The sequence below is a fragment of the Homo sapiens genome, chromosome 7, assembly GCF_000001405.40.
Source record: "Homo sapiens chromosome 7, GRCh38.p14 Primary Assembly".
Classification (NCBI taxonomy): domain Eukaryota; kingdom Metazoa; phylum Chordata; class Mammalia; order Primates; family Hominidae; genus Homo; species Homo sapiens.
In genome coordinates, this window is record NC_000007.14 from 26,178,191 (window position 1) to 26,201,342 (window position 23,152).

General features: G+C 40.4%; 2 protein-coding genes across 33 annotated transcripts in view, besides 9 other annotated features; one reads left to right on the forward strand and one right to left on the reverse strand.

Moving 5' to 3' along the window:
- The window catches only part of NFE2L3 (NFE2 like bZIP transcription factor 3), a 34,940-nt gene extending 25,993 nt beyond the window's left edge, over positions 1–8,947 (forward strand). The window contains exons 3-4 of the mRNA NM_004289.7: positions 5,511–5,594; positions 6,343–8,947. Coding sequence (NP_004280.5) covers positions 5,511–5,594; positions 6,343–7,593 — 1,335 coding nt within the window. The 3' untranslated portion in view covers positions 7,594–8,947. The remainder of the gene's footprint in view (positions 1–5,510; positions 5,595–6,342) is intronic.
- Positions 2,619–2,913: an enhancer, noted in NCBI's record as "tiled region #4449; K562 Activating DNase matched - State 5:Enh". NCBI's record gives its function as "activates a minimal TATA promoter and a strong SV40 promoter by Sharpr-MPRA in K562 cells {active_cell/tissue: K562}" and the evidence as "EXISTENCE:reporter gene assay evidence [ECO:0000049][PMID:27701403]".
- Positions 7,381–7,430: an enhancer, noted in NCBI's record as "active region_25784". NCBI's record gives its function as "activates an Ori minimal core promoter by ATAC-STARR-seq in GM12878 lymphoblastoid cells {active_cell/tissue: GM12878}" and the evidence as "EXISTENCE:reporter gene assay evidence [ECO:0000049][PMID:35858748]".
- Positions 7,451–7,680: an enhancer, noted in NCBI's record as "active region_25785". NCBI's record gives its function as "activates an Ori minimal core promoter by ATAC-STARR-seq in GM12878 lymphoblastoid cells {active_cell/tissue: GM12878}" and the evidence as "EXISTENCE:reporter gene assay evidence [ECO:0000049][PMID:35858748]".
- Positions 10,081–10,605: an enhancer, noted in NCBI's record as "H3K27ac hESC enhancer chr7:26227891-26228415 (GRCh37/hg19 assembly coordinates)". NCBI's record gives its function as "activates a minimal SCP1, AML or CMV promoter by ChIP-STARR-seq in naive H9 embryonic stem cells {active_cell/tissue: H9 hESC(naive)}" and the evidence as "EXISTENCE:reporter gene assay evidence [ECO:0000049][PMID:30033119]".
- Positions 11,737–22,556, reverse strand: HNRNPA2B1 (heterogeneous nuclear ribonucleoprotein A2/B1). Of its 32 annotated transcripts, none has more exons than XR_007060011.1 (14): positions 22,382–22,556; positions 19,641–19,676; positions 19,432–19,542; positions 19,125–19,271; positions 18,617–18,827; positions 18,367–18,468; positions 18,211–18,291; positions 17,657–17,719; positions 15,385–15,504; positions 15,061–15,183; positions 14,305–14,387; positions 13,232–13,460; positions 12,866–12,938; positions 11,935–12,270 (listed from the first exon to the last, which is right to left on the reverse strand). XR_007060011.1 is itself a non-coding variant. In NM_001438568.1 (12 exons), the coding sequence occupies exons 1-11, from the start codon at positions 22,385–22,387 to the stop codon at positions 14,326–14,328; spliced, it is 1,062 nt and encodes a 353-aa protein (NP_001425497.1). In that variant the 5' UTR covers positions 22,388–22,556; the 3' UTR covers positions 11,935–12,270; positions 14,305–14,325. The 32 variants fall into 32 exon arrangements, 14 of the variants coding, with proteins under 14 accessions (NP_002128.1, NP_001425497.1, NP_001425499.1 ...); XR_428077.2 differs by having other exon boundaries at positions 12,803–12,938; XR_001744674.3 differs by lacking the exon at positions 19,641–19,676.
- Positions 20,998–21,971: an enhancer, noted in NCBI's record as "NANOG-H3K27ac-H3K4me1 hESC enhancer chr7:26238808-26239781 (GRCh37/hg19 assembly coordinates)". NCBI's record gives its function as "activates a minimal SCP1, AML or CMV promoter by ChIP-STARR-seq in primed H9 embryonic stem cells {active_cell/tissue: H9 hESC(primed)}" and the evidence as "EXISTENCE:reporter gene assay evidence [ECO:0000049][PMID:30033119]".
- Positions 20,998–21,999: a biological region, named in NCBI's record as "NANOG-H3K27ac-H3K4me1 hESC enhancer GRCh37_chr7:26238808-26239781".
- Positions 21,880–21,999: an enhancer, noted in NCBI's record as "active region_25786". NCBI's record gives its function as "activates an Ori minimal core promoter by ATAC-STARR-seq in GM12878 lymphoblastoid cells {active_cell/tissue: GM12878}" and the evidence as "EXISTENCE:reporter gene assay evidence [ECO:0000049][PMID:35858748]".
- Positions 21,972–22,944: an enhancer, noted in NCBI's record as "NANOG-H3K27ac-H3K4me1 hESC enhancer chr7:26239782-26240754 (GRCh37/hg19 assembly coordinates)". NCBI's record gives its function as "activates a minimal SCP1, AML or CMV promoter by ChIP-STARR-seq in primed H9 embryonic stem cells {active_cell/tissue: H9 hESC(primed)}" and the evidence as "EXISTENCE:reporter gene assay evidence [ECO:0000049][PMID:30033119]".
- Positions 22,110–22,499: an enhancer, noted in NCBI's record as "active region_25787". NCBI's record gives its function as "activates an Ori minimal core promoter by ATAC-STARR-seq in GM12878 lymphoblastoid cells {active_cell/tissue: GM12878}" and the evidence as "EXISTENCE:reporter gene assay evidence [ECO:0000049][PMID:35858748]".

Consider the following 23,152-nt stretch of genomic DNA (forward strand, 5'->3'; position numbering starts at 1 on the left):
TGTGTCAAGAATGAGCATGTAAAACAGTATGCTCTACTATTAACAAATATGATATATGAAAATACCTATGTCTTTAAGTTATGGGAGTAGTAATTTGATTTATAAATGAATTAGCCCATACAATTGTTTTCTCTGGTTAAACTCAAGATTTTGTGTGTATGTGCACACACCCCCTTCCAGGACCTTGCTAGCAGGTTTTGCTAGTTATGTTTGCCAAGGCAAGTGATGAAGAAATGGGGAACCTAGGAGTCCTCAACCAGCCACATGCACAGGTAGCCAGGCTGGCCTAGTCCAGGAGAGCAAGCCGAGGACCAACCCTACAGCCAATCACCCATGATGTCAGCTAAGGCTTGGGCTGAAATCTTTGTTCAGTCTCCTGGCAGGCCTGGCTGAACCGTTGGGCATCCATGGTCCAGTGGGACCACCTCCTTAACTCCTCATTGCCTAACCTTACTCTTTGGCTGTGAGAAGAGGTGTACAAAGATGAACTCCCGGAGCCAGGCTGAAGGGATGGATGCTTTCTGCGATCTGTGCTTCCTCCTCCTTTCATTTGGGCTGTACTCTGATTTCTCTTCAGCCCTGCTGAGGTCCTGCCCACAAGCATGGCAAACAGGCACTCGAGATATTTAATAACCACGTGGCACTTCCACCTGGAAGGCATACCCTCAGGGGTCTTGCCCTGACGGTTTTCTTAGGCATCACCTGCTTTAGCATGTCCCCTTCCCAGAATGTGGAGTTTAGGGCTGTGTTTTGAATACCTTGGAGGATGGAGAGTACCATGCCCTGACCCTTCTCAGACAGCTGTCATCATGGTAGCCCTGGCCATGTAATATTACATGGAACATTACTTATTTTGCATGAAATCAGAAAACAGGTTTGTTCTCTTTGCCTGCCTACCACTCCCTTGCCCCTCCAGCTTCCACCTAGAGCCCCTTGGTGAAATCTAGGGCAGGTCCCATAAATTCTAGATACTAATGAAAATCGCTCTGGCCATCCCAGTGCAGCAATTGATAAGAATAACCCAGTGTGTCCATGTACAGTTGCTCACACCTATAATCCCAGCACTTTGGGAAGCCAAAGCATGCAGATCGCTTGAGCCCAGGAGTTGGAGATCAGCCTGGGCAACATGGCAAAACCCCATCTCCACAAAAATTACAAAAATTAGTTGGTGTGGTGATGTGTTCCTGTACTCCTAGCTATCCAGGAGGCTGAGGTGGGAGGATCACCTGAGCCTGGGAGGTCGAGGCTGCAGTGAGCTGTGATCACACCAGTGCACTCCAACCTGGGCAACAGAGTGAGACCCTGTCTCAAAAAAAAAAAAAAAAAGTATAACCCAATGTAATTTCCAAGAACGCTGAACCAAAAGTTAGCTGGGCGTAGTGGTGTGTGCCTGTGGTCCCAGCTGTTTGGCAGGCTGAGGTGGGAGGATCACTTGAGCCTGGGAAGTTGAGGCTGCAGTGATCCGTCATCATGCCACTGCACTTCAGACGGGGTGACAGAGCAGGACCCTGTCTCAAAAAAGAAAAATCCAAAACAAAACACACTGGGCTAAAATTCAGCATCTTTCCTCAGTTTTGTGTGGCCTGCCCTGCTGATTTCTCTGGGGTTGAGGGTGTGGGGTGCTAAGAACATAGGAAATTGTTTCTCTTGACCACGCGATACATTTAAATATTATACAACTCTTTGTCACGTGGGCACCTTTTCGTGTATAGGTTCTTTGGAGACCCCTGGCCCCACAGCTGGGAGTCTTCCTCTTGACAGGGGCAAATGCATCTCCACTGCAGCTGGTCCTTTAGGACTCTTCCCTGAATGTTCCGTGGTATACATGCATCTCACCTCTTCAGGTGGCCCTCTCAACCATTTGCTGGCCGCCTAGCACCTGGAAACATGCCCTTAGACCCTTTTCCAGTTCCCTAACTATGGCTCTTGCATGGTTTCTCATCGTTTATATTTCCCAGGCAAAAACAGGACACTAAGCTTCTGTGTCCCCAAACTGCGGAAAACACACACTGAGTTCTAAGTGGTCTCCTTGAGGCCCTTTTTGACATTCTTCAGATGAAGGGGAGGGGGTAGAGAGCACACCCCAAGGAACCCTCCCATTTTCACTCTGACCAGTGGAGCTTTAACCCTTTTGTAACCCTCAATTGCAACCTGGCATTTGGCAACTGCCTGTTCTTTTTTCCCAGCTGGTATTCTCCCCAGCTCCTCTGACTTATCTATTTCCTAATTAATGGATGCATTGTATGGTTTTACCACTCTCCCCACAGCATACATACTGTATTGTCAAATCATTACCCATGGACTTTTATATTAAAATACTGACAGAACCATATATATGTTGAAGAGGACAACATTTCTGCCCACTTCCCTGAGTATTCACAGCTCTGTTTGAGGGAAAAGATGTTTTCACTAGTCTTTCACTTATTTAACACTGAATTGTATATTGCCTTTCTCCCAGGTATGTCTTCGTCTTTACTCCCTCACTGGGCTTCCCAGAAAAGCAAGAACTGTAACAAACTAATTCACTGCTAGGCACAGACTAGGCACTTACTAAATATTAATGAGGAGACAAATGAAGTAGGGAGCTTCCTTGGAGAGAATTTAAAATGTAATTTGACATAGGACAAACATCAATTTGGACAAAACTTTTCAGAAACATATTAATCATTCAAAGCCAGGCATTTGTGCCTAATTCTTATCAGGCTTGGTTCCTCATTGTGTTATCTCCATGTTCCTAGCCTGAGCATTTACGTCACATCTTCGTGTACTTAACACTTTTTTTTTTTTTGAGGAAGGCGGCGGGGGAGACAGGATCTCACTCTGTCACCCAGGCTAAAGTGCAGTGGCGCTGTCATGGCTCACTGCAGCCTAAACCTCCTGGGCTCAGGTGATCTCCCACTTCAGCCTCCCAAGTAACTGGGGCTATAGGTGCACACCACCATGCCCAGCTAATTTTTTGTATTTTCAGTAGAAGTGGGGTTTCACCATGTTGCTCAGGCTGGTCTCAAATTCCTGGGCTCAAGCAATCTGCCCACTTTGGCCTCCCAAAGTGCTGGGATTACAGGTGTGAGCCACTGCACCCAGCCACATTTCTTATAGTAGCTCTGACAAGATATTTCTGTTCTTTTATTGGGCTATTACTTAGTAGGTGCTTTTAAAGCTTGTTGAAATAAAACAGAAATGAGTTAGACCAGTGAATCACTGGCATTTCCATTCTTCCAGATGACAACTCTGGAAGAATATCTAGGAAATGGGGACTGGTACAATTCTAGCTACCCTTTAGAAATCAGAACCCCAGTGGGGGCCCCAAAGCTAGATATAAGATCTGAATGCACACTACCATCACCATCAAGAATCCTCGGCCAAGAGAAAGTACAGTCTGGAAAATGATATAAACACTGGTTCTTGAAAAGAAAAATGCAAAACTGCTCCCCAAAATGCTCACCTTTTAAGAATTAAAAATGACATAAATAGCCATGAGTCAGCATATGCAAAAGTCAGGATTCCTAGTCCTCTGAAAAAGACTCTAAATCAGTGTTTAAATTGTTCATAGGAACAGAATCTATAAGGCAAGAACAGACTATCATGAAAAAAGAAAAAGATCTAGAAAAGAGCCCAAATGAAATTCTAGATATGAAAAAAGTCATTTTCATTGAAAATTCAGTGGAAGTGATGTGAACAGCTAAGGAAAAGGGTAAGTTGGAAGAAAGATCTAAGAAAATTATCTAGAATATACCAGAGAAGATGCAAAATATGAAAGCAAAATTGAGACAATGATAGAAGAGAAAAATCTAAGTTACTTCTAATAGGAGTCCCAGAAGAAACTATAAAATATGAAAGATAAGCAATATTTAAAATGAGTTTATGGCAAAATATTTCCAGAAAAGTCCTCAGATTAAAGGACTACACAGAGCTCCTAACGAAAACAAATTAAGTCCTAGACATACCAGATTGAAACAGAACGTCAAGAACTAAGAAGAAACATTTTTTAAATTACCTGAGATAGAAAAGTTTCATTATAAATAACACTGAGAGCAAACTTACCAGTAGTAATAAATGCCATAAGACAGAGTACTGAGGGAAAACATTAAACCTTATATTTTTACCAGTTAACTCATCATTTAAGCATGAAGGCAAAATAATTCCATGTAGGCCGGGCATGGTGTCTCATGCCTGTAATCCCAACTCTTTGTGAGGCCAAGGCAGGTGGATCACCTGTGGTCAGTAGTTCAAGACAAGCCTGGCCAACATGGCAAAACGCCAGCTCTACTAAAAATATAAAAATTGGCCAGGCGCAGTGACACATGCCTGTAGTCCCAGCTATTCGGGAGGCTGACACACAAGAATCAATCACTTGAACCCAGGAGGCGGAGATTGCAGTGAGCTGAGATCTCACCAGTGCTCTCCAGCCTGGGCGACAGGACAAGACTGTCTCAAAATAATTCCATGTAACAAAAACTGGGTTTACTGCTCAGGTCCTCTCTAAAAAGAACTCTGAAGAGTTCTTTCAACTAGAAAGAGGCTAAAGCATAAAGGCCAGGAGTGAGATGAAGCATCGATAAATTGGTTTTAAAAAAACAAATTGGAGTAAATGTAAATAAGTATTGACTGTAAAAATATTTTTTGAGACGAGATCTCATTCTGTTAGGCTGGAGTGTGGCAGCGCTGTCACGACTCACTGCAGCCTCAACCTCCTGGACTCAGGCAGTCCTCCTGCCTCACCATCCCGGAGTAGCTGGGACCACAGGTGCACACCACCACACCCAGCTAATTTAATTTGTAGAAACGGTCTTGTTGTGTTGCCCAAGCTGGTCTCCAACTCCTGGGCTCAGGCGATCTGCCTGCTTTGGCCTCCCAAAGTGCTGGGATTACAAGCGTGAGCCACCACACCTGGCCAAAATTATATAATTGTGTAACCAACTGGGAGGGCTGGCTATGGAGGGGCAAAATAAGCTGAAACTAACAATTAGCCAAAAATTACATGGAAGTTGTTTATGGTAGGAATAGAAATACTGATTAGCTTTGGACTTTTAAGTATGCATGTTGAAATACTGAGTACCATAATCAGAGAAATAGGTCAGCTGCAGTGGCTCACGTCTGTAATCCCAGCACTTTGGGAGGCCTAGGTGGGTGGATCACTTGCGGTCAAAAGTTCGAGACCAACTTGGCCAACATGGTGAAACCCTGTCTCTACTAAAAATACAAAAATTAGCCAGACGTGGTGGTGCACAGCTGTAATCCCAGCTACTCCGGAGGCTAAGGCAGGAGAATCCTTTGAACCTGGGAGGCAGAGGGTGTAGTGAGCCGAGATTGCACCACTGCACTCCATTCTGGGCCAGAGTGAGATCCGTCTCAAAATATAATAAAAAGTAGAACTTCCAACCAAGGAACATAATAGCATAAAAATCCAGTGTGGAAATAATACCTGGTGATCCTTTAAAGATAAAGCCTAAAGCCCCAACCAGTTCAGTCTTTTATGTGAAAGATGCACTTTTTGTGTTTCTCTACAGAGACATCTGAATGGGACAGATACTTCTTTCTCTCTGGAAGACTTATTCCAGTTGCTTTCATCACAGCCTGAAAATTCACTGGAGGTAATTGGAACTTTGGCTTTTATCCTCGCAGGAACATATCTGCACTGACCTTTTGGTGAACAAATACAACTCCTTTACTTGGATGACACAGCAGTTTAAAGTAATGCTTATTTTTACAGAAGCACTTCAGCTTAGAATTAACCAAATATGTATAGCATTCCTCTTTCCAAATAATCCCAAAGGTATAATCAAATTTAGACTAGTCATGGAAAACAGCGTGGAGATTTCTCAAAAAACTAAAAGAATTATCAGGTATTTATCCAAAGGAAAGGAAATCAGTGTATCAAAGGGACACCTGCACCCCCATGTTTATTGCAGCAATATTCACAATAGCCTTGTAGTTTTAGCGCTTAGAGGCATTTAAACAGCCTCTCTCCTCCAGACTACTTCACTGTAGTTTATTATCCCTGACCCTCCACAATGTGATTACCAACCGCTAGGATGAGTTGCATCTTATTATAAAGTAGCAAATTACAAGATTGTAACATTAGACTTTTTAAGAAAATCCAGTCAGCTTTTATACTAATCCATCTTAATTTCTAGGTTACTCAGAATTCCAGGTATTCTGATTTGGACTCACATCTCGTATTGTATTGCCTGTATTTAACTAGGAAGTTACTGCCAACAGCATCTATCTCTATTAAATGTAGAGGAATTGACAAAAGAGGGGAAAGAAAGTTGTTAGGTAATAGAACTGCTTCAGAAATAGGGCTATTCATGTTTGAAGTGTTTCTCCTTCGTTTTTCAGGGCATCTCATTGGGAGATATTCCTCTTCCAGGCAGTATCAGTGATGGCATGAATTCTTCAGCACATTATCATGTAAACTTCAGCCAGGCTATAAGTCAGGATGTGAATCTTCATGAGGCCATCTTGCTTTGTCCCAACAATACATTTAGAAGAGATCCAACAGCAAGGACTTCACAGTCACAAGAACCATTTCTGCAGTTAAATTCTCATACCACCAATCCTGAGCAAACCCTTCCTGGAACTAATTTGACAGGATTTCTTTCACCGGTTGACAATCATATGAGGAATCTAACAAGCCAAGACCTACTGTATGACCTTGACATAAATATATTTGATGAGATAAACTTAATGTCATTGGCCACAGAAGACAACTTTGATCCAATCGATGTTTCTCAGCTTTTTGATGAACCAGATTCTGATTCTGGCCTTTCTTTAGATTCAAGTCACAATAATACCTCTGTCATCAAGTCTAATTCCTCTCACTCTGTGTGTGATGAAGGTGCTATAGGTTATTGCACTGACCATGAATCTAGTTCCCATCATGACTTAGAAGGTGCTGTAGGTGGCTACTACCCAGAACCCAGTAAGCTTTGTCACTTGGATCAAAGTGATTCTGATTTCCATGGAGATCTTACATTTCAACACGTATTTCATAACCACACTTACCACTTACAGCCAACTGCACCAGAATCTACTTCTGAACCTTTTCCGTGGCCTGGGAAGTCACAGAAGATAAGGAGTAGATACCTTGAAGACACAGATAGAAACTTGAGCCGTGATGAACAGCGTGCTAAAGCTTTGCATATCCCTTTTTCTGTAGATGAAATTGTCGGCATGCCTGTTGATTCTTTCAATAGCATGTTAAGTAGATATTATCTGACAGACCTACAAGTCTCACTTATCCGTGACATCAGACGAAGAGGGAAAAATAAAGTTGCTGCGCAGAACTGTCGTAAACGCAAATTGGACATAATTTTGAATTTAGAAGATGATGTATGTAACTTGCAAGCAAAGAAGGAAACTCTTAAGAGAGAGCAAGCACAATGTAACAAAGCTATTAACATAATGAAACAGAAACTGCATGACCTTTATCATGATATTTTTAGTAGATTAAGAGATGACCAAGGTAGGCCAGTCAATCCCAACCACTATGCTCTCCAGTGTACCCATGATGGAAGTATCTTGATAGTACCCAAAGAACTGGTGGCCTCAGGCCACAAAAAGGAAACCCAAAAGGGAAAGAGAAAGTGAGAAGAAACTGAAGATGGACTCTATTATGTGAAGTAGTAATGTTCAGAAACTGATTATTTGGATCAGAAACCATTGAAACTGCTTCAAGAATTGTATCTTTAAGTACTGCTACTTGAATAACTCAGTTAACGCTGTTTTGAAGCTTACATGGACAAATGTTTAGGACTTCAAGATCACACTTGTGGGCAATCTGGGGGAGCCACAACTTTTCATGAAGTGCATTGTATACAAAATTCATAGTTATGTCCAAAGAATAGGTTAACATGAAAACCCAGTAAGACTTTCCATCTTGGCAGCCATCCTTTTTAAGAGTAAGTTGGTTACTTCAAAAAGAGCAAACACTGGGGATCAAATTATTTTAAGAGGTATTTCAGTTTTAAATGCAAAATAGCCTTATTTTCATTTAGTTTGTTAGCACTATAGTGAGCTTTTCAAACACTATTTTAATCTTTATATTTAACTTATAAATTTTGCTTTCTATGGAAATAAATTTTGTATTTGTATTAAAAATTAACTTTTCCCTTTTATACAGAATCTGAACCAAATTTACCTTACTTTCCTTCCAAAATATCCACATTCAGGAATATAGGTGAATAACAAATAAGGCAGCATAGCAAACTGCTCAGACTCAAGCCAAATTGAGGTCAACATAGTATGCCAAATCCATAGTAAGGCAAATCCACCCCCCTACCCCAATACTTAACACACAGAATACTATGTGATATAGAATGCACTGAAGACCTACGGTCACTGGTAGTTTGAGCCACAGGCCTTCCTCATGTAACCAGAGACAGAATGGGCTACTTGCAAAAACGTAACTCCTTGTGTGTATATTAAATCCATAAAATCTCTGGCAGTAAAGCCAGCCTGAAGGGATGGCCTCACCATCTTAGAATACTGAGATCTCACCAGAACACTGTAAGCCATATAAACAGTAGGGAAAGAGTCAGCAACAGTGAAACCATCTGTTTAAAATGGGCAAAAGCGATTAAGGGAAAAAAAACAGGTGAATTTGAAAATAAACCAGGGTAAGGTAAATTCTAGAAATAATAGCATTTGAAATGAAAACCTCACTTAAGTTCACTAGAACAGTAAACAGGAGATTGCTGAATTTTTTGAAGACAGCAATGACCTCACCTAGATGACTCAAGTTTGGGGAACATCAAGATTTTGACGGGTACTATAATGCTTAATATGTCCAAATTTTCAAAATGAAGTTTCTCAGATATTATTTCTGCCATAGGAGCTACAGTGTAGAGTATCACATAAGTATCTTGGGCTAGAGAAATGCAGTTTATATATACCGTTGGATTTTTATAATAAAGTTTCCCAAGACCTGTTATTTTGCCAGAAATGCTTCTAGTATGCTTCTAGATAAAATTGCCCCTTCAGTGACTCATGGTGTTCAAATGATCATTTTAGTCTGTTGCTTTTTACAAGGGAGTATTTCAAATGTCTTAAGCTTTTGATAATTATAATTTAAGAACACACATAAAACATTTCAGTAGGAAATCCTACTAAGTACACTCAAAAGAGTGCCTGCTTATCAGATAGCATTCTTTTCAAACCTCTAAAATAAAAGACAGTGGAGAGCAGAATCGGTAATCATGGTGACTCTTGTTACCCATGCTGAAGTGCAGTGGCCCCAATAAAAGATCCAGCCTCAAACTCCTGGACTGCCTCAGCCTCCCGAGCTGCTCAGATTATGGACCGCCATGCCTGGCCTGAAGTTTAAACTCTAAAAACCCTTAAATATAGCACACACAGATCTAGTAACTGCAAACTGAATATATTTAAAGATGGTAGTGTCTGTACTGAACTTTATTCCCCATACATAATGCAGCATACCATTTACCTAGCTTCTACCTTGGATTAAATATTGGGTAACCTAGACAACTCAAGTGTATGAGATGTGCTTAGACCACGTGCAAATACACGTTTCATACAAGGGGGCTAGAGCATCCACATTTTGGTATTGTGGAGGTTCCTGAAACTGATGGGCCCCTCTCCCATCAAGGGACTTTTAATCGGCGCATTAAGCAGCCAGCGTCACAAGCTCTAATTGGCTATGGGCTGGCTTCCTGACATAACCCTGCCTCCATCTTAACATGCTGGATTCAAGGTATATAAACTGCAACTGCTTTTCTGACAGTCCAGTTTTAGAGGCAGAAGGGAATTCCACATTCGGCTTCCAGTGCAAACCAACTAGATTACAAAGCCAATGCCCGAAAGCTGACCATTGCCTAGGACCCTCCACATTACCTACCTAGTTGAGCAGTCTTGATTGCATCATCTAACGTCTTAATCAGAATGAGGAAGACAAGAACAAAGACAACCCAAGTGGGTTGGACATCTCCTTTTCCAATTAAAACTATCACTTGAGCATCTTCACAAGTGTGATCAGATTTTAGGCCAATTGTACGGCAACTCCAAGCAAAAAAAGACCTAGATTTCTAGTGGTCCCCTGGTCTCAAGGTAGGCTTCGGTTCAGCAGAGCTTCAGAACCAGTATACAGGGTTTTGTGTGGTAATATTAACGTCTTTTAAACGCACTCAAGTAGCTAAATCATTCCCCATCTCAGTCTCTGAACGATTTGTTCTCTGTTAAGTCCATGCAACTCAACTGATTTGTTACCAATTCCCCTCCACTACCCCAAAACAAGCCAGTGTTAGTGCATTACTAAATAGTGGAAATGTCAAAAATTATGTAGGGCCTGTCAACATCTCAGTATATTAGTTCCAAACCTTAAAGAGAGCGAATTTATGTAACATGCAGTCCAGGTGTCCTGACAGATGTTTTCCACTTTTCAACCATCAGTGACAAACTGAGACTTGTTGCCTTACATTGTTAGCTCCCAATGCCTAACTAGTATTTATTAGGTCAAGCAATTTGGCATCTACCAAATTGGGCTACATGGAAAAGCTTACACATACAGAAATCTGGTTTCACACTAGTGAATAAACTGAGTAAGGGCACCCCCTTGAGTGTGACAGCTGGCATCTGAGAGTTCCCAATGCTCCCTGCCTGCTTGGTAATTGTACCAGGGAAAAGAACCCTCCCACCACATTCTGTGACCATAAAGGATGCAAGATAGCACGACTACTTCGTAGAGCGTGTTCATTTTACAGCTTTTCTTGCTCAAATCACTCACCGAGGGAAGATGACAACCAGGATTAACTTTAAAGCTGTTAGTATGCCACTCTGGATATTAAAAAAATTCTCCAATCCTAGTTTTCTGTGATTGGAACCTTGAGCTTTACCCAGAATCAGTTAAGTTGCTCCCAATTGCTGACCCATAGATGCTGGTTTGTTTCTCTGAACTGCTCTTAAGTATTGAGGTAAGTTGTTACACAGCAACAATATAAAGCCTTGGCCAAAAAGCAGCCTTTCTTCATTTAGGGCACTGTCTCAAAGCTACACAAGAACTACCTTAAACTTCAATTTCTACAAGAGAAACAGCTCAACACAACATATACACACAGGAAATAAGCCTATGTTGAATATCCAACATTACCCCCATGCTTCAGTAAACCCTCCTTCAATCAGTTCATTTCAGTCTATTGTGCAATTACCTAATTCTCCCCTATTTGTGTGATATTCCCTTGACCTTGGCTGGATAGGAGTTGGTATTTTGAGGTTATGCATATCAACCTGATGTATTTCAAAGTTCAACGTCTTTGTACATCCACACATTTTTAAACCTTCAAAATTTTCTTAAAGTTGGGATATTTGTACGTCTTTAATTGACGAACTCAGCTATTTCAAACAGAAAGCTGCTTTCTATGTGTTACCTGCTGTTAAATTTGACTTACCTGTTAGATACCTCACATTATCAAAACCAAAACAAATTATCATAGAAACAAATTAACCTGGTCTTTTTGGTTTTCTTAATTCAGATAAATGTCCAAATAAACACATTTAAAAAGCAACACTGATATTCATTTACTCAGTGTAAACCACAATAAAACTAATTGACATTTGACAATCTAGCACATATTGTAAACCTCAGTGCTTCTGCAAAGCCACTTAATCTGGACCACTCCAGCCGGTTAACCTTTAAAATCCATGATTTTCAAAATGCCACCAGTATTGCTAAACGTAAAAGTAAAGCCAGAAACTTTAGGAGTACTCAAACGCTGAATATACAGTGCATAATGAACAGCATTTTATTGGGGACAGCCAATAATGTCCACAATGCTCTTCTCATTTACCTGTTAATATTAAAATATGCATAGCTTTGTGAAACTGCTTTTAAAAATTTAGGGGATGGTGATCTTTTAGACAACCAAATATTTATAGAACAAGATTCACACATTTTATGTGTAAACATTACACCAAGTATTTGGATACAAAAAGTATTTATTTTATAAACTTTATATTTAAAATAGAATTGTAATCTGTCTACTCACAAAACCTAATTTAAAACATGATACATTTATCTCTCTAGCCAATTTGATGTTACTGTTTTACAAACAACACTCATTTTGTAATTGTTTTATATCAAGAACCTCAACTAAATGTTTGTTTTATCAGAAAACATTTCCCTTTTATTTTAAAGAGTGCTTTTTAAATGAAGGCACCAACAAGAACTACTTTCAGATGGTACAGAATTTCTTATTTCTTGAAGACTCTGTGGTTGACCACTTCTTCATTAGTTACCTGCAGCAAGACACCTTCCTGCCAAAGGAAAAAAAAAGTATCTGAAGAAGTTTATCATGTTTGTCCAAAAGAACCTAAACAACTTCAGTGGTGGTCTTAGGATCAAAGAAGACTCATTGGTGTATAGAGTAAGCCCTGAGTATCACATTCCTGTAAAGGCAATAAAGCCGGGCAATCAAACTGATCATATCTAAGGAATGAATTTCAACAGCCAACCTACAACTTTCTCTTCAGGGTAAGACACTGAACTAGAATTACCACATTTAACCCACCTATTTAGTACTGGATACATACCAGGCTTCATAATGCAGACAAGACACTTCACTCAAGTATGAACTACTATCTGAAAATAGATTCAACCATTTTTGCCCTACCTTCTTTCAGTCTCATCCTGATAAGCATGTACAGTTACAACCATAAATACAACAAATGTCTTTAATAAAAACCCCTAGTTCACTCAAAATGTTTGATCCAAGAAATGTGAATACACAAGGGTGTAACGATGGGAAATCTCATGATTTATTGAACTTGCAGCCTAACTTTTACCTACCATTTTACTACCAACACCACTGAAGGAACCAAGAAAAGCTTTATTAATGATCACTTGGCTTGCCTCAGCTGTTGAAATGAAGCACTTTACAGTCTTTGTGGCAGCAGAATATACTTGTCCATGGTTCATATCAATGCTAAAATTCCGGCAGGGAAAAAAATGATATGTTAAGCACCCAAATCTTCACATGGAGGGGGAGGGGGTGGGAAAAGAAGGAAAAAAAGGGAAAAACAACCAAAATAATTTAAGTAAATGACAGATTGGAAAACAGGGTTTATAAAAATTATTCTCTTGAGTTTATAAATTGTTAAACTCAATTTATAGCTATGTTAAACTACGTAAGAACCACTATACTGAAAGACCATTTAAGAGTATTAGTTTATCTTTTAGGGAGGAAAATTAAGAAAGGAAAAGTAAATAAGATCTTACCTAAAGAAGTTTAACTGAAGCTTAGAACTATTTTGCTCTACACCCTCAGCTTTCGTTGGCATCCTTATAAACTACTGTAGTTAAAGTTTTGTAGAAACAGCACAGTTTTTTAAGACTGGCTGAACTTAGTAGCCGTCAAGAGTTCTCTTGTACTAGACCTGTGTCCCTGAAGAGTACCTCGCTGGGGTTATTTCCTTTCCTTGCATTGAAGAAGCAGCATCTAAAAGATCTAAAAAGGTGTTTCTCCTTGCAGAGATATCCCTTAAGTTATCTACATAATTTAATCCTGATGAATTGCAGACAACACACTTACATCTGACCAGCATTTATCTTATACAAATATAACAACAGCTTTGCAACGGACCTTAATTATACTACCCACTCCTTAACTTATTTAAAATAAAAAGTCTATAATTACACAATTTCCTTTAGAATTATTTTATTAAATCATAAATGTACAACAGCTTCTTAACTCTACACACGCACTTAAATTTTTTTAAAGGAAAAACGTTATGTCTTATTACACCATGATCCTGGCTAATAGCTTTTCAAAACTTTGAGAAAAATCTTAAAAAAGGTTTCACATGTCACCTGAAACTTACAAATTTAACATTATCAAAGAAGGAATGCTTCTACACTCTTACAAAGACCACTAGAAAGAAACAACAATTAAAAAGCTAAGAAACTGTCTCAAAGGCATTTTTTTTTACAATCCTTCCTCCACAGTAAGGTAATGTTATTAAATAATCCAATCCATTCACAAAATGGCTCTCTGCATCTGCTCTGGTGTCTTCTGCCATATCACTGCATATTTATGCATGACTGAGATAAGAGTTTCCTTAACATTGTTATTTCGATAACCTGAAGCTGTTCTGTTACCTCTGGGCTCTCATCCTCTCCTATTTATACAGTGAAGCCTGTTTCAACAGAAGTAAAGAGTAAAAAAAAAATAGGTTATGAAATTATCCATCTAACCAGATTTTAAGGAAAGATAACATGATCCTAAAAAGCTTTTACTCCTGCAGCTATGTCTCCCAAGATAATAATAATTGTAAAACTCAAAAGCTACTTACCCATGGCAAATAGGAAGAAGCTCAGTATCGGCTCCTCCCACCATAACCCCCACTTCCTCCACTGCCTCCTGGACCATAGTTTCCTATAATTGTTGGAACAGCAAGAGAAAACAAACTTACTTTGATTTCCCATGATCAGCCTAACACTACAGTTGATTCTATTTTATATCCATCCAGTCTTTTAAACAAGCAGATCCTAATCCTTTGCAGCCAGTTAGCAGAATTACTCAGGAGATAAATTACTCGGGTTCATAGACATTTTTATTTCGTGGCTGACCCTATTCTTTTAAATAAAGGGTCCTTTCACCCTCTCATCCTCATTTGGACTGAGTAAGGGATTTTTTTAAAAGTACATCAAGCCCAAGACAAAGCTAGTTTACTCCTAGCTAAAAACCTCAAAAATAAGCTAAGCAATGGTTTGAATCATGGTTTAAGGATTTAACTTCAAAGACCCTCATTCCAATGTATACCACTTGCAATGTGGGTTGCAACTGTATTTAGCTGTTTATGAGTCCCCACCAGAAATTAAACTACTGAACACCCCCACCTCCAACATCCCTAATCCCAATTTGATGTCATAACTGCTTGCTGAGTACTTCTGTGGAGATTTATGCAAAATTTCTTTATTTTCACTAAGACCGTACATGGAGCACTGCCCACAGTACAAACTACTTAGTATGTTATCTTCCCTTTAAGTCACAAAAGGCTAATCCTTTAATCACAAAAATCTGAATAACCTCAATTTTTATAAATTACCTCCACCATATGGTCCCCCCATGTTCCTGCTACCACCAAAGTTTCCACTCTTCATTGGACCGTAGTTAGAAGGTTGCTGGTTATAATTTCCAAAATCATTGTAATTTCCACTTCCATAATTTCCTATTAAAAAATTGGAATACTCAGAACAATACAAACATTAAACCAAGGACTTAGGACAAAGCTCCCATAAAAACAAATAAAAGCAAACACTTATCCACAAATTTTATGGGCATCTAGTGACAAACATGGAAACAAAAGATCAAGTGTTACAAAGACATTAATTCCAAATTCCCACATAAAGGTTGCAGGTGAATTTATTACCTCCTCCATAGTTGTCATAACCACCTCCGTAGCCCCCACCCTGGTTGCCATATCCAGGTCCTCCACCACCATATCCTCCTCTTCCTCCTCCATAACCGGGGCTACCTCCAAAATTGCCACCTATTATAAAATAAGCCTTTAAGTAATCACTTAATATTTTCAATACCATTTTGAACTGTCTCCTCACATCCATTTCCAGCTTTCCAAGTTTCCATGTGAAATATTTAATGAAATTCCTCTAAAATAGCTTCAAGGACTGAATAACTATCCTTGGTAAACATTTGGTGGCTGGGGTTACTCAGCCAAATGGATAACACCATGTGCACACAGTTAAATACCTGTAATTCCACAGCTTTCCCTCAAAACTAAAAATCTTAAGTATCTTGAAATACTTCATGTATATTGTGGGTAAGGACTGTGAGGCTAGACTAGTAGTGTGGGCTAGAGGGAAAGTAAAAGAGCACTTCCTCCTACTGGCCCAAAAGATAAAGTTTCTATTATGTCTCTCTACGAATTACATATCTTAAAACAATGTTCTCGGTTGGGCACAGTGGCTCATGCCTGTAATCCCAGCACTTTGGGAAGGCCGAGGCGGACGGATCACGAGGTCAAGAGATTGAGACCACCCTGGCTAACACGGTGAAACCCCATCTCTACTAAAAATACAAAACATTAGCCGGACATGGTGGCAGCAACCTGTAGTACTAGCTACTCTGGAGGCTGAGGCAGGAGAATGGCGTGAACCCGGGAGGCAGAGGTTGCAGTGAGCTGAGATCACACCACTGCACTCCAGCCTGGGCGACAGAGAGAGACTCCCTCTCAAAAAACGAAACAATGTTCTTGGCTGGGCGCAGCAGCTCACACCTGTAATCCCAGCAGTACGGGAAGTTGAGGCGGGTGGATTGCTTGAGCCCAGGAATTCAAGACCAGCCAGGGCAACACAGCAAAACCCCCACACCTCTACAAAAAAACACAAAATTAGCCGGTCATGGTGGCACACCCCGTAGTTCCAGCTACCCAGGAGGCTGAGGTGGGAGGATGGCTTGAGACTAAGATTGCAGTAAGCCAAGATCACACCACTGCACTCCAGTCTGAGCAACAAAGCCAGACCCCATTTCAAAGAAAAAAAACAGACCCAACACTCCACACAGTATGTTCTTTACTGTAAATAGAAGTGCGGACATAAACAAAAATTTACACTTTCACATACTGCAAAACAAAAATAAAAAAAAAAAAAAGGCTGGGCATGGTTGCTCACGCCTGTAACCCCAGCGTTTTTGGGAGGCCAAGGTGGGCAGTTCACGAGGTCAGGAGTTCAAGACCAGCCTGACCAACATGGGGAAACCCCGTCTCTACTAAAAATACTAAAATTAGCTGGGCGTGGTGGTGCACGCCGGTAATCCCAGCTACTCAGGAGGCTGAGGCAGGAGAATCACTTGGACCGGGAAGGCAGAGATTGCAGTGAGCAGAGACGCGCCACTACACTCCAGCCTGGGTGACAGAGCAAGGCTCCGTCTCAAAAAAAAAAAAAAAAAAGAAACCATATTAAAAAAAAAAAAAAAGCTTGTGGGCTGAGTCTCTAACTTGTAGTTAAATACAAGAACTCAGCTTCCTCTAAAATTTTAATTATAAAAAGTAGAACAGTGAGATACACTATTTAGTCATGCCTATTGAGTGGCAACACCAGAAATCAAGTCTATTACCAGCTCAGTTTTAAATGTCCCTTGTTACAAAATCTGTCAGTGTGTATCAGCCTTTTCTGTACGCCAATGATATATCACACTTCATGTTTAATGGTAGTTCACAACCTTATCTGCAGCCAGGAGCACACTAAACATTTTGGAACATTTCCGTAGGTTACGCTTTTTGAAAGTTATCCTGGGATGCTTCCCATCTAGTTACGGGTTTAGACATATTTCATATTTTTTCCTACATATACCACCCCCTTAGGTTTTACTCTGTTAAATCCAGTATTCTGTACTTTTCCAGAGAAGCACGTACAAAGATATATCTAGATCCAATCATTTTGCTTGAGAAAAGATGAGATACTCTGATGGTTATCTTTACATTTTCATTTAAAATGGCACTCTATTCCTTAGGCTATAACAGCTAAGATGGCAAAACTACTTAGAAATAACTGGACCACTATCACCCAAGCCATTTATAGACACTAATATAAAATGTTTAAAAACTCAAAATATAAATGAAGTAAATATACGATATAGTTAAGTATTAGTCACATAAACAAACCAAAACGTAGAGGAAAACTGACCTCCAGGTCCTCCTCCATACCCATTATAGCCATCCCCAAATCCACGTCCACTGCCATATCCATCTGTTAGGGGCCAAAAAAAGATTACGTTTACTATAAACTGTTCAGCATTATTGCTAATATTCATTTTCAGTTCTCTTACTACCTCAGCACAATAATTAAGAACCGCAGAAAAGGACACACCAGTGCTACCAGTTTACCCACAAAACATGAAAGCATATAATTAAATCTACCGCCTAAATTTTGGACTCTTAACAAGTCTCAATCTTAGAGATTCCATCCTATTTATACGTAAGAATGACACTTGATGGGGGTCAAAGCTTTTCGGATGACACTTCATGTTACATTATTAATCCAGATAAATACAACTGTTATTAATACAACTCTATTAACTTCTTGTCTGGCCAAATCACAAGAGCTTGCCAGGATACAATCTATTTGAAGTCTTAGGAAAATTGACTTAGGTTGGATTTCTTGATTCTACTAATGAAAACCTAATCATATTTAAAATAAAAGCACACTCATCCTTTAAACACGTAGAACTTGAAACTCACCAGATCCTCCTCTAAAGTTACTTCCTGGTCCTGGTCCGAAATTTCCACCGCCACCACGTGAATCCCCAAAGCCAAAGTTGCCTACAATAAATGCCCCAGTTAGAAGCAAGCCCTTATATATGAACAAAAATAAAGAAGAAACAGAATTAAAATTACCTCCTCTTCCACTCCTAGAACTCTGAACTTCCTGCATTTCTTGTCTAGACAAAGCCTTTCTTACTTCTGCATTATGACCATTGATGGTATGGTATTTCTGCACTGGAATGAAAAATTCAGACTCCTTTTAAATTAAATCAACAATATTAAGCAGCTTCAAAAGTTTACCTTTCAATAAAGTTACAGATGTTAACATACACAAAATTGAATACACTGGAAAAAAACAGTACATTTGTGGTTAGACACTTACATACGATTTTATCCACAGGATCATGGTCATCAAAAGTAACAAAGCCAAAGCCTCTTTTCTTTCCAGACTGCCTATCAGTAATTATCTCAATGGTATCAATTTTTCCATATTCCTCAAAGTAATCTCTAAGGTGATGTTCCTCAGTATCTTCTTTAATTCCGCCAACAAACAGCTTCTTCACAGTTACATGAGCCCCTGGTTTTCCAGATTCCTAAAATAGTGGTGGGGTAAAAGTCATCCAAACAGAAAAAAACACAAGCATAATTCAAAGCACCCAACCGTAGTACCATACTTCGCTTGTATCCACCTTAAAACTACCAGATATAAAATAGCTTTTAGGGACCTAGCTTTTGAAAAATAAGCTAGCTTAAGAAAATGGTCCAGAAACCCAACACACCTTTAATAAGAGAAAAAATCTTGAGTTAAAACTAAATTCAGAAATAGTTTCTGATTTTCAGCAGGGCAGCGTTCTTCATGTTAATGCACAAGACAGTCATTGTTTGCTTACCTCTCTTGCTACAGCACGTTTTGGCTCAACTACTCTCCCATCAATTGAATGAGGTCTTGCAGCCATGGCAGCATCAACCTCAGCCATGGATGAAAAAGTTACAAAACCAAATCCTCTTGATCTTTTGCTTGCAGGATCCCTCATTACCTTTCAAACCAAAGGGTAAACTTTAGCATTTAATCTCATTATAGCTTATAAGTGAAGTCATAATAGAATTTTTTACTATGCTGATAGTTATTTCCTCCATGATTCACTTAACATACAGCTAAAAGACTAATATCCAGTAACAATTCAGTAATTTACATACCACACAGTCTGTAAGCTTTCCCCATTGTTCGTAGTAGTTCCTCAAACTTTCTTCTGTGGTTTCAAAGCTTAAGCCACCAATAAAGAGCTTACGGAACTGTTCCTTTTCTCTCTGCAAAGGAAAATACCATTTCAATTTTTATTTACATTTTCCTCTTTGTATGCAGGAAATTAAATTCTTAAATATGAGGTGACCTGCTGGCAGAGTACCTTTTTCCTCTCCAAAGGAACAGTTTCTAAAGTTTTCTGGGGGGAAAAAAAAAACTTACATCAAATTTAAACCATATGTTAAACTGCATATTAGTTGTGTTACACCAAAAAATTGCCTCAGCTGATCTACACAAGTTTCAAAGTCATTAATGCTTGATATAAATTTACTCAACATTAAATTATCTTAAATTATTAATTAAAAAAAAAACTTTCTAAGGAAAAATAAACAAATGTAGACCGTGATTATCAAAGGATTATTAAAGAATCTTTACCAAAAATTTCAACCCTACAACCTAAAAACGCAAATTTCTATTTTTAAACATCAGAAAATAACTCTTGGTTCATTACTTATGACCCAAAGTTTTTATTTCACTATTCAATATCTGAAAAGTATCATTTATTTTCCCTTAACTGCCCCCTCTGGTGGTGATTCTAAGTATCTCAGCCAAAAAAACACAACTTTTTACAACAAACACTAAGTTTCTCCATATGACTCTCAGTTACGAAAATATTTAAAGATATGCATTAGAAATAACCTTAAAAATTACTCTTATAACCAGGACAAATTAATTTTTATGACCAGCAGCACTCGAAGCTTAAAAAGTTTAATTTTTGGTGGACATGTCTATATTTGATATATGACAATACAGAATATGAATTACTCAGCTTAACCATATGTACAATAAAATACATTCACGTGGCATAATCTCTAAGATAACAATTACTGAAAGCTGAAGCTTACTTGATTGGCCATGTGGCAAGCGACAGGCACAAAACAATTTTCCAAGTCAATAGGAAAAACCTCAGAGCTGAAATCTTTATATGCTGTACTACACAGCTGTATTCTGGGCACTTATGAATGTTAAGGAAACCTGTCTTAAAAGTTAACTAGGTTAAAAAACCTCAAACGAGAGAAAGTGATATCCAGGACCAACTGCTACAAACGCATAATGCAAACTAAAAAGTCACACGTAATTTTCAATCAATTATTTTTTGTTCCTAGCAAGCAGCATTAATTGCTGCTCTCATCCCAGTTCTACGGAGCTCTCCCTCCATTCGCATGCTCCCAACTCCTAAAAAGTAGTGGTAAAACCCAGTTCAGATTTTTTTCCTGTAGTTTTCATGACTCGTAAAAATTAAAGAAAAAATTAACTGAAATGATCAAACTAGCTCCTATGAGACACAAAGCAGTCTTTTGAAATGGTTACTTGTCACGATAGTTATTTTCATTTTTTCAGCTAGTTTTTATTCTTAATTGTCGTCAGCACATAGGTTATCTCTAAACTGAAATTACGGATAATGTACATTTATAACAAGTTTTACAAATCACTAACAAAAAGCAAAAACTCATTACTTACCTCACAATTTATCCAAACTTACCCGATGTCCACTATCGATTTTAAACAATGTTATTTTATAAACGTGCTTAGGGTCAAAGAAAATAACCAGGTAGACCCCCTTCGCTTGAGACCTTATGCTTATCAATGTAATGTTCAACCAAGATTGCAAACAAAATGAGAAAAGTAACAAAGTTCAAATACAGAGCGGCCCAGGCCCAAAACAGTTTTGCACATCAATCCATACGCATTACAGGAAGGAGCCTCTGAAGCCATGTTTTAATCGAAGTATAACTAAGGACAAAATCGTTATTTCACTTTCCTCGTAATCATCTATAAAGGTCCATGGATCTGTCCCGTAAGGGTTAAACTTCTCAGTAACAACATTACTTAAAATGAGTCAGCTCTACAACTTAAACGGAATCCTTAAGAACAGTAAAGGATTCTGACGCGAATATCCCTCCCCCGCCCAGAAAACCACCTTCGTCCCTGCCCCTCGTGGCCGATGGCTTCCAATTTATGTTTATTTTGCCGCGGTTCATCTGTCGTTTTACTGACTGCAGACCCAGATAAAACCGTTACTCAAAGGAAAAAAAAGACAGGAAAAACATAAAATGGTTTCTTTGTCCTACGGCTCGCATTGAACCCGGCCCGACGCCCTGGGTGGTGATATCTTCTCTGAAACCGGGCCCGCAAACCCGGAGCACCCCCCCTCCCCGCTCTTCGGTGTGGCTTCCGAACGCAATGGCGCCATTTCATCGAGGGGAAGGCTGAGCGCCTTTAATGAGGTGCGCAGGACTCTAAAGATCCAAGCTCACAAAACACTCCAAATCCACCTCGAAACGATATGAAAACAGCCCGAGAAGAAAAAAAAATAGTTAACCACTTCTACTTCTTGATAGAGAAAGCACACTAAGAAAATAAAAGAGTTATAAGGAAAACGCTGAGAGGAAGGCGAGCCATGAAAATGGCGGCCGCCAAATCCGGTTCCCGGGAGAGAGGGGGAGGGGAAGCTCCGCAGCCTCGCTCACGAGGACCTGCTGCCCGCCGAAACGCTCGCCGAGGAGACGCCGTGGCCCCCGAAGCAGCGTGCTTTAGAAAGGGAATAAGAATTCCCGCCTCCGCGCCCCACTTTCACCCCAGCGGGGCAGCGTCCGCCATGTGAAAGCTCCCCATCCCCCACCCCCAGTGAAGGGAAATGGCGCCGGGAGGCTGAGGGTGGGGAAGCTGTTTGTACGCTCAGGCCTCCGCTCAAGACCCCGTTCATAAACCTTAAGCCCCACTGCTACTGAATTGGTCCGATTTCCTGCCTCTCTCCCACGGAGGCGGCTGGCCGACTTCCACTGAGGCGCCAACGGCCTCGCCATGCCCTTTTCAATAACTCATTGATTTCAAACCCGTTACCTCCATCGCGGACTCAGTCGCTTCAGCCCGATTTCCCGCAGCCGAGCGAGATGAGAGAGATCTCCGCGGACGAACACGAACCGGACTCGTCCTGGCGCTGTAGTGAGAACTGCCGCTGCTCGAGAAACAACTCTGCGAGGAGCACCTCCGCACGGGACCCGGCGCTGCTGCTACTGCCGCTAGAGCCGCTGCCGCCGCTTTTCTAGAACCTTCCCCCCCACTAACGCGTCTTCCGCTACGTCAGGCCGTCGCGTAAACGCCCTATCCGCCGCCAATGGCGGGAAGGCTCTACGCCCCACCTTACGCCAAATGCGTACTCCTCCCACCCTTGCGGCCAGAGACAGTACCCGACGTTACTTCCGTAAATGCGCTCAATGAATTGCGGAAGGCTAGAGTCCTGCTAGTTACTACCTCTTGGAATAGGGTCCCGCCCCCTGCCTTGGCGCAAGGCAGGTGAGAAACGGTCGCGCAGTTTGAAATTAACGCCGACGGGAGGGGCTTAATCCGCAGCCTGGAGATCCAGCCCCCTCAACCCGGGAGGTGGTCCCTGCAGTTACGCCAATGATAACCCCCGCCAGAAAAATCTTAGTAGCCTTCCCTTTTTGTTTTCCGTGCCCCAACTCGGCGGATTGACTCGGCCCCTTCCGGAAACACCCGAATCAACTTCTAGTCAAATTATTGTTCACGCCGCAATGACCCACCCCTGGCCCGCGTCTGTGGAACTGACCCCTGGTGTACAGGAGAGTTCGCTGCTGAAAGTGGTCCCAAAGG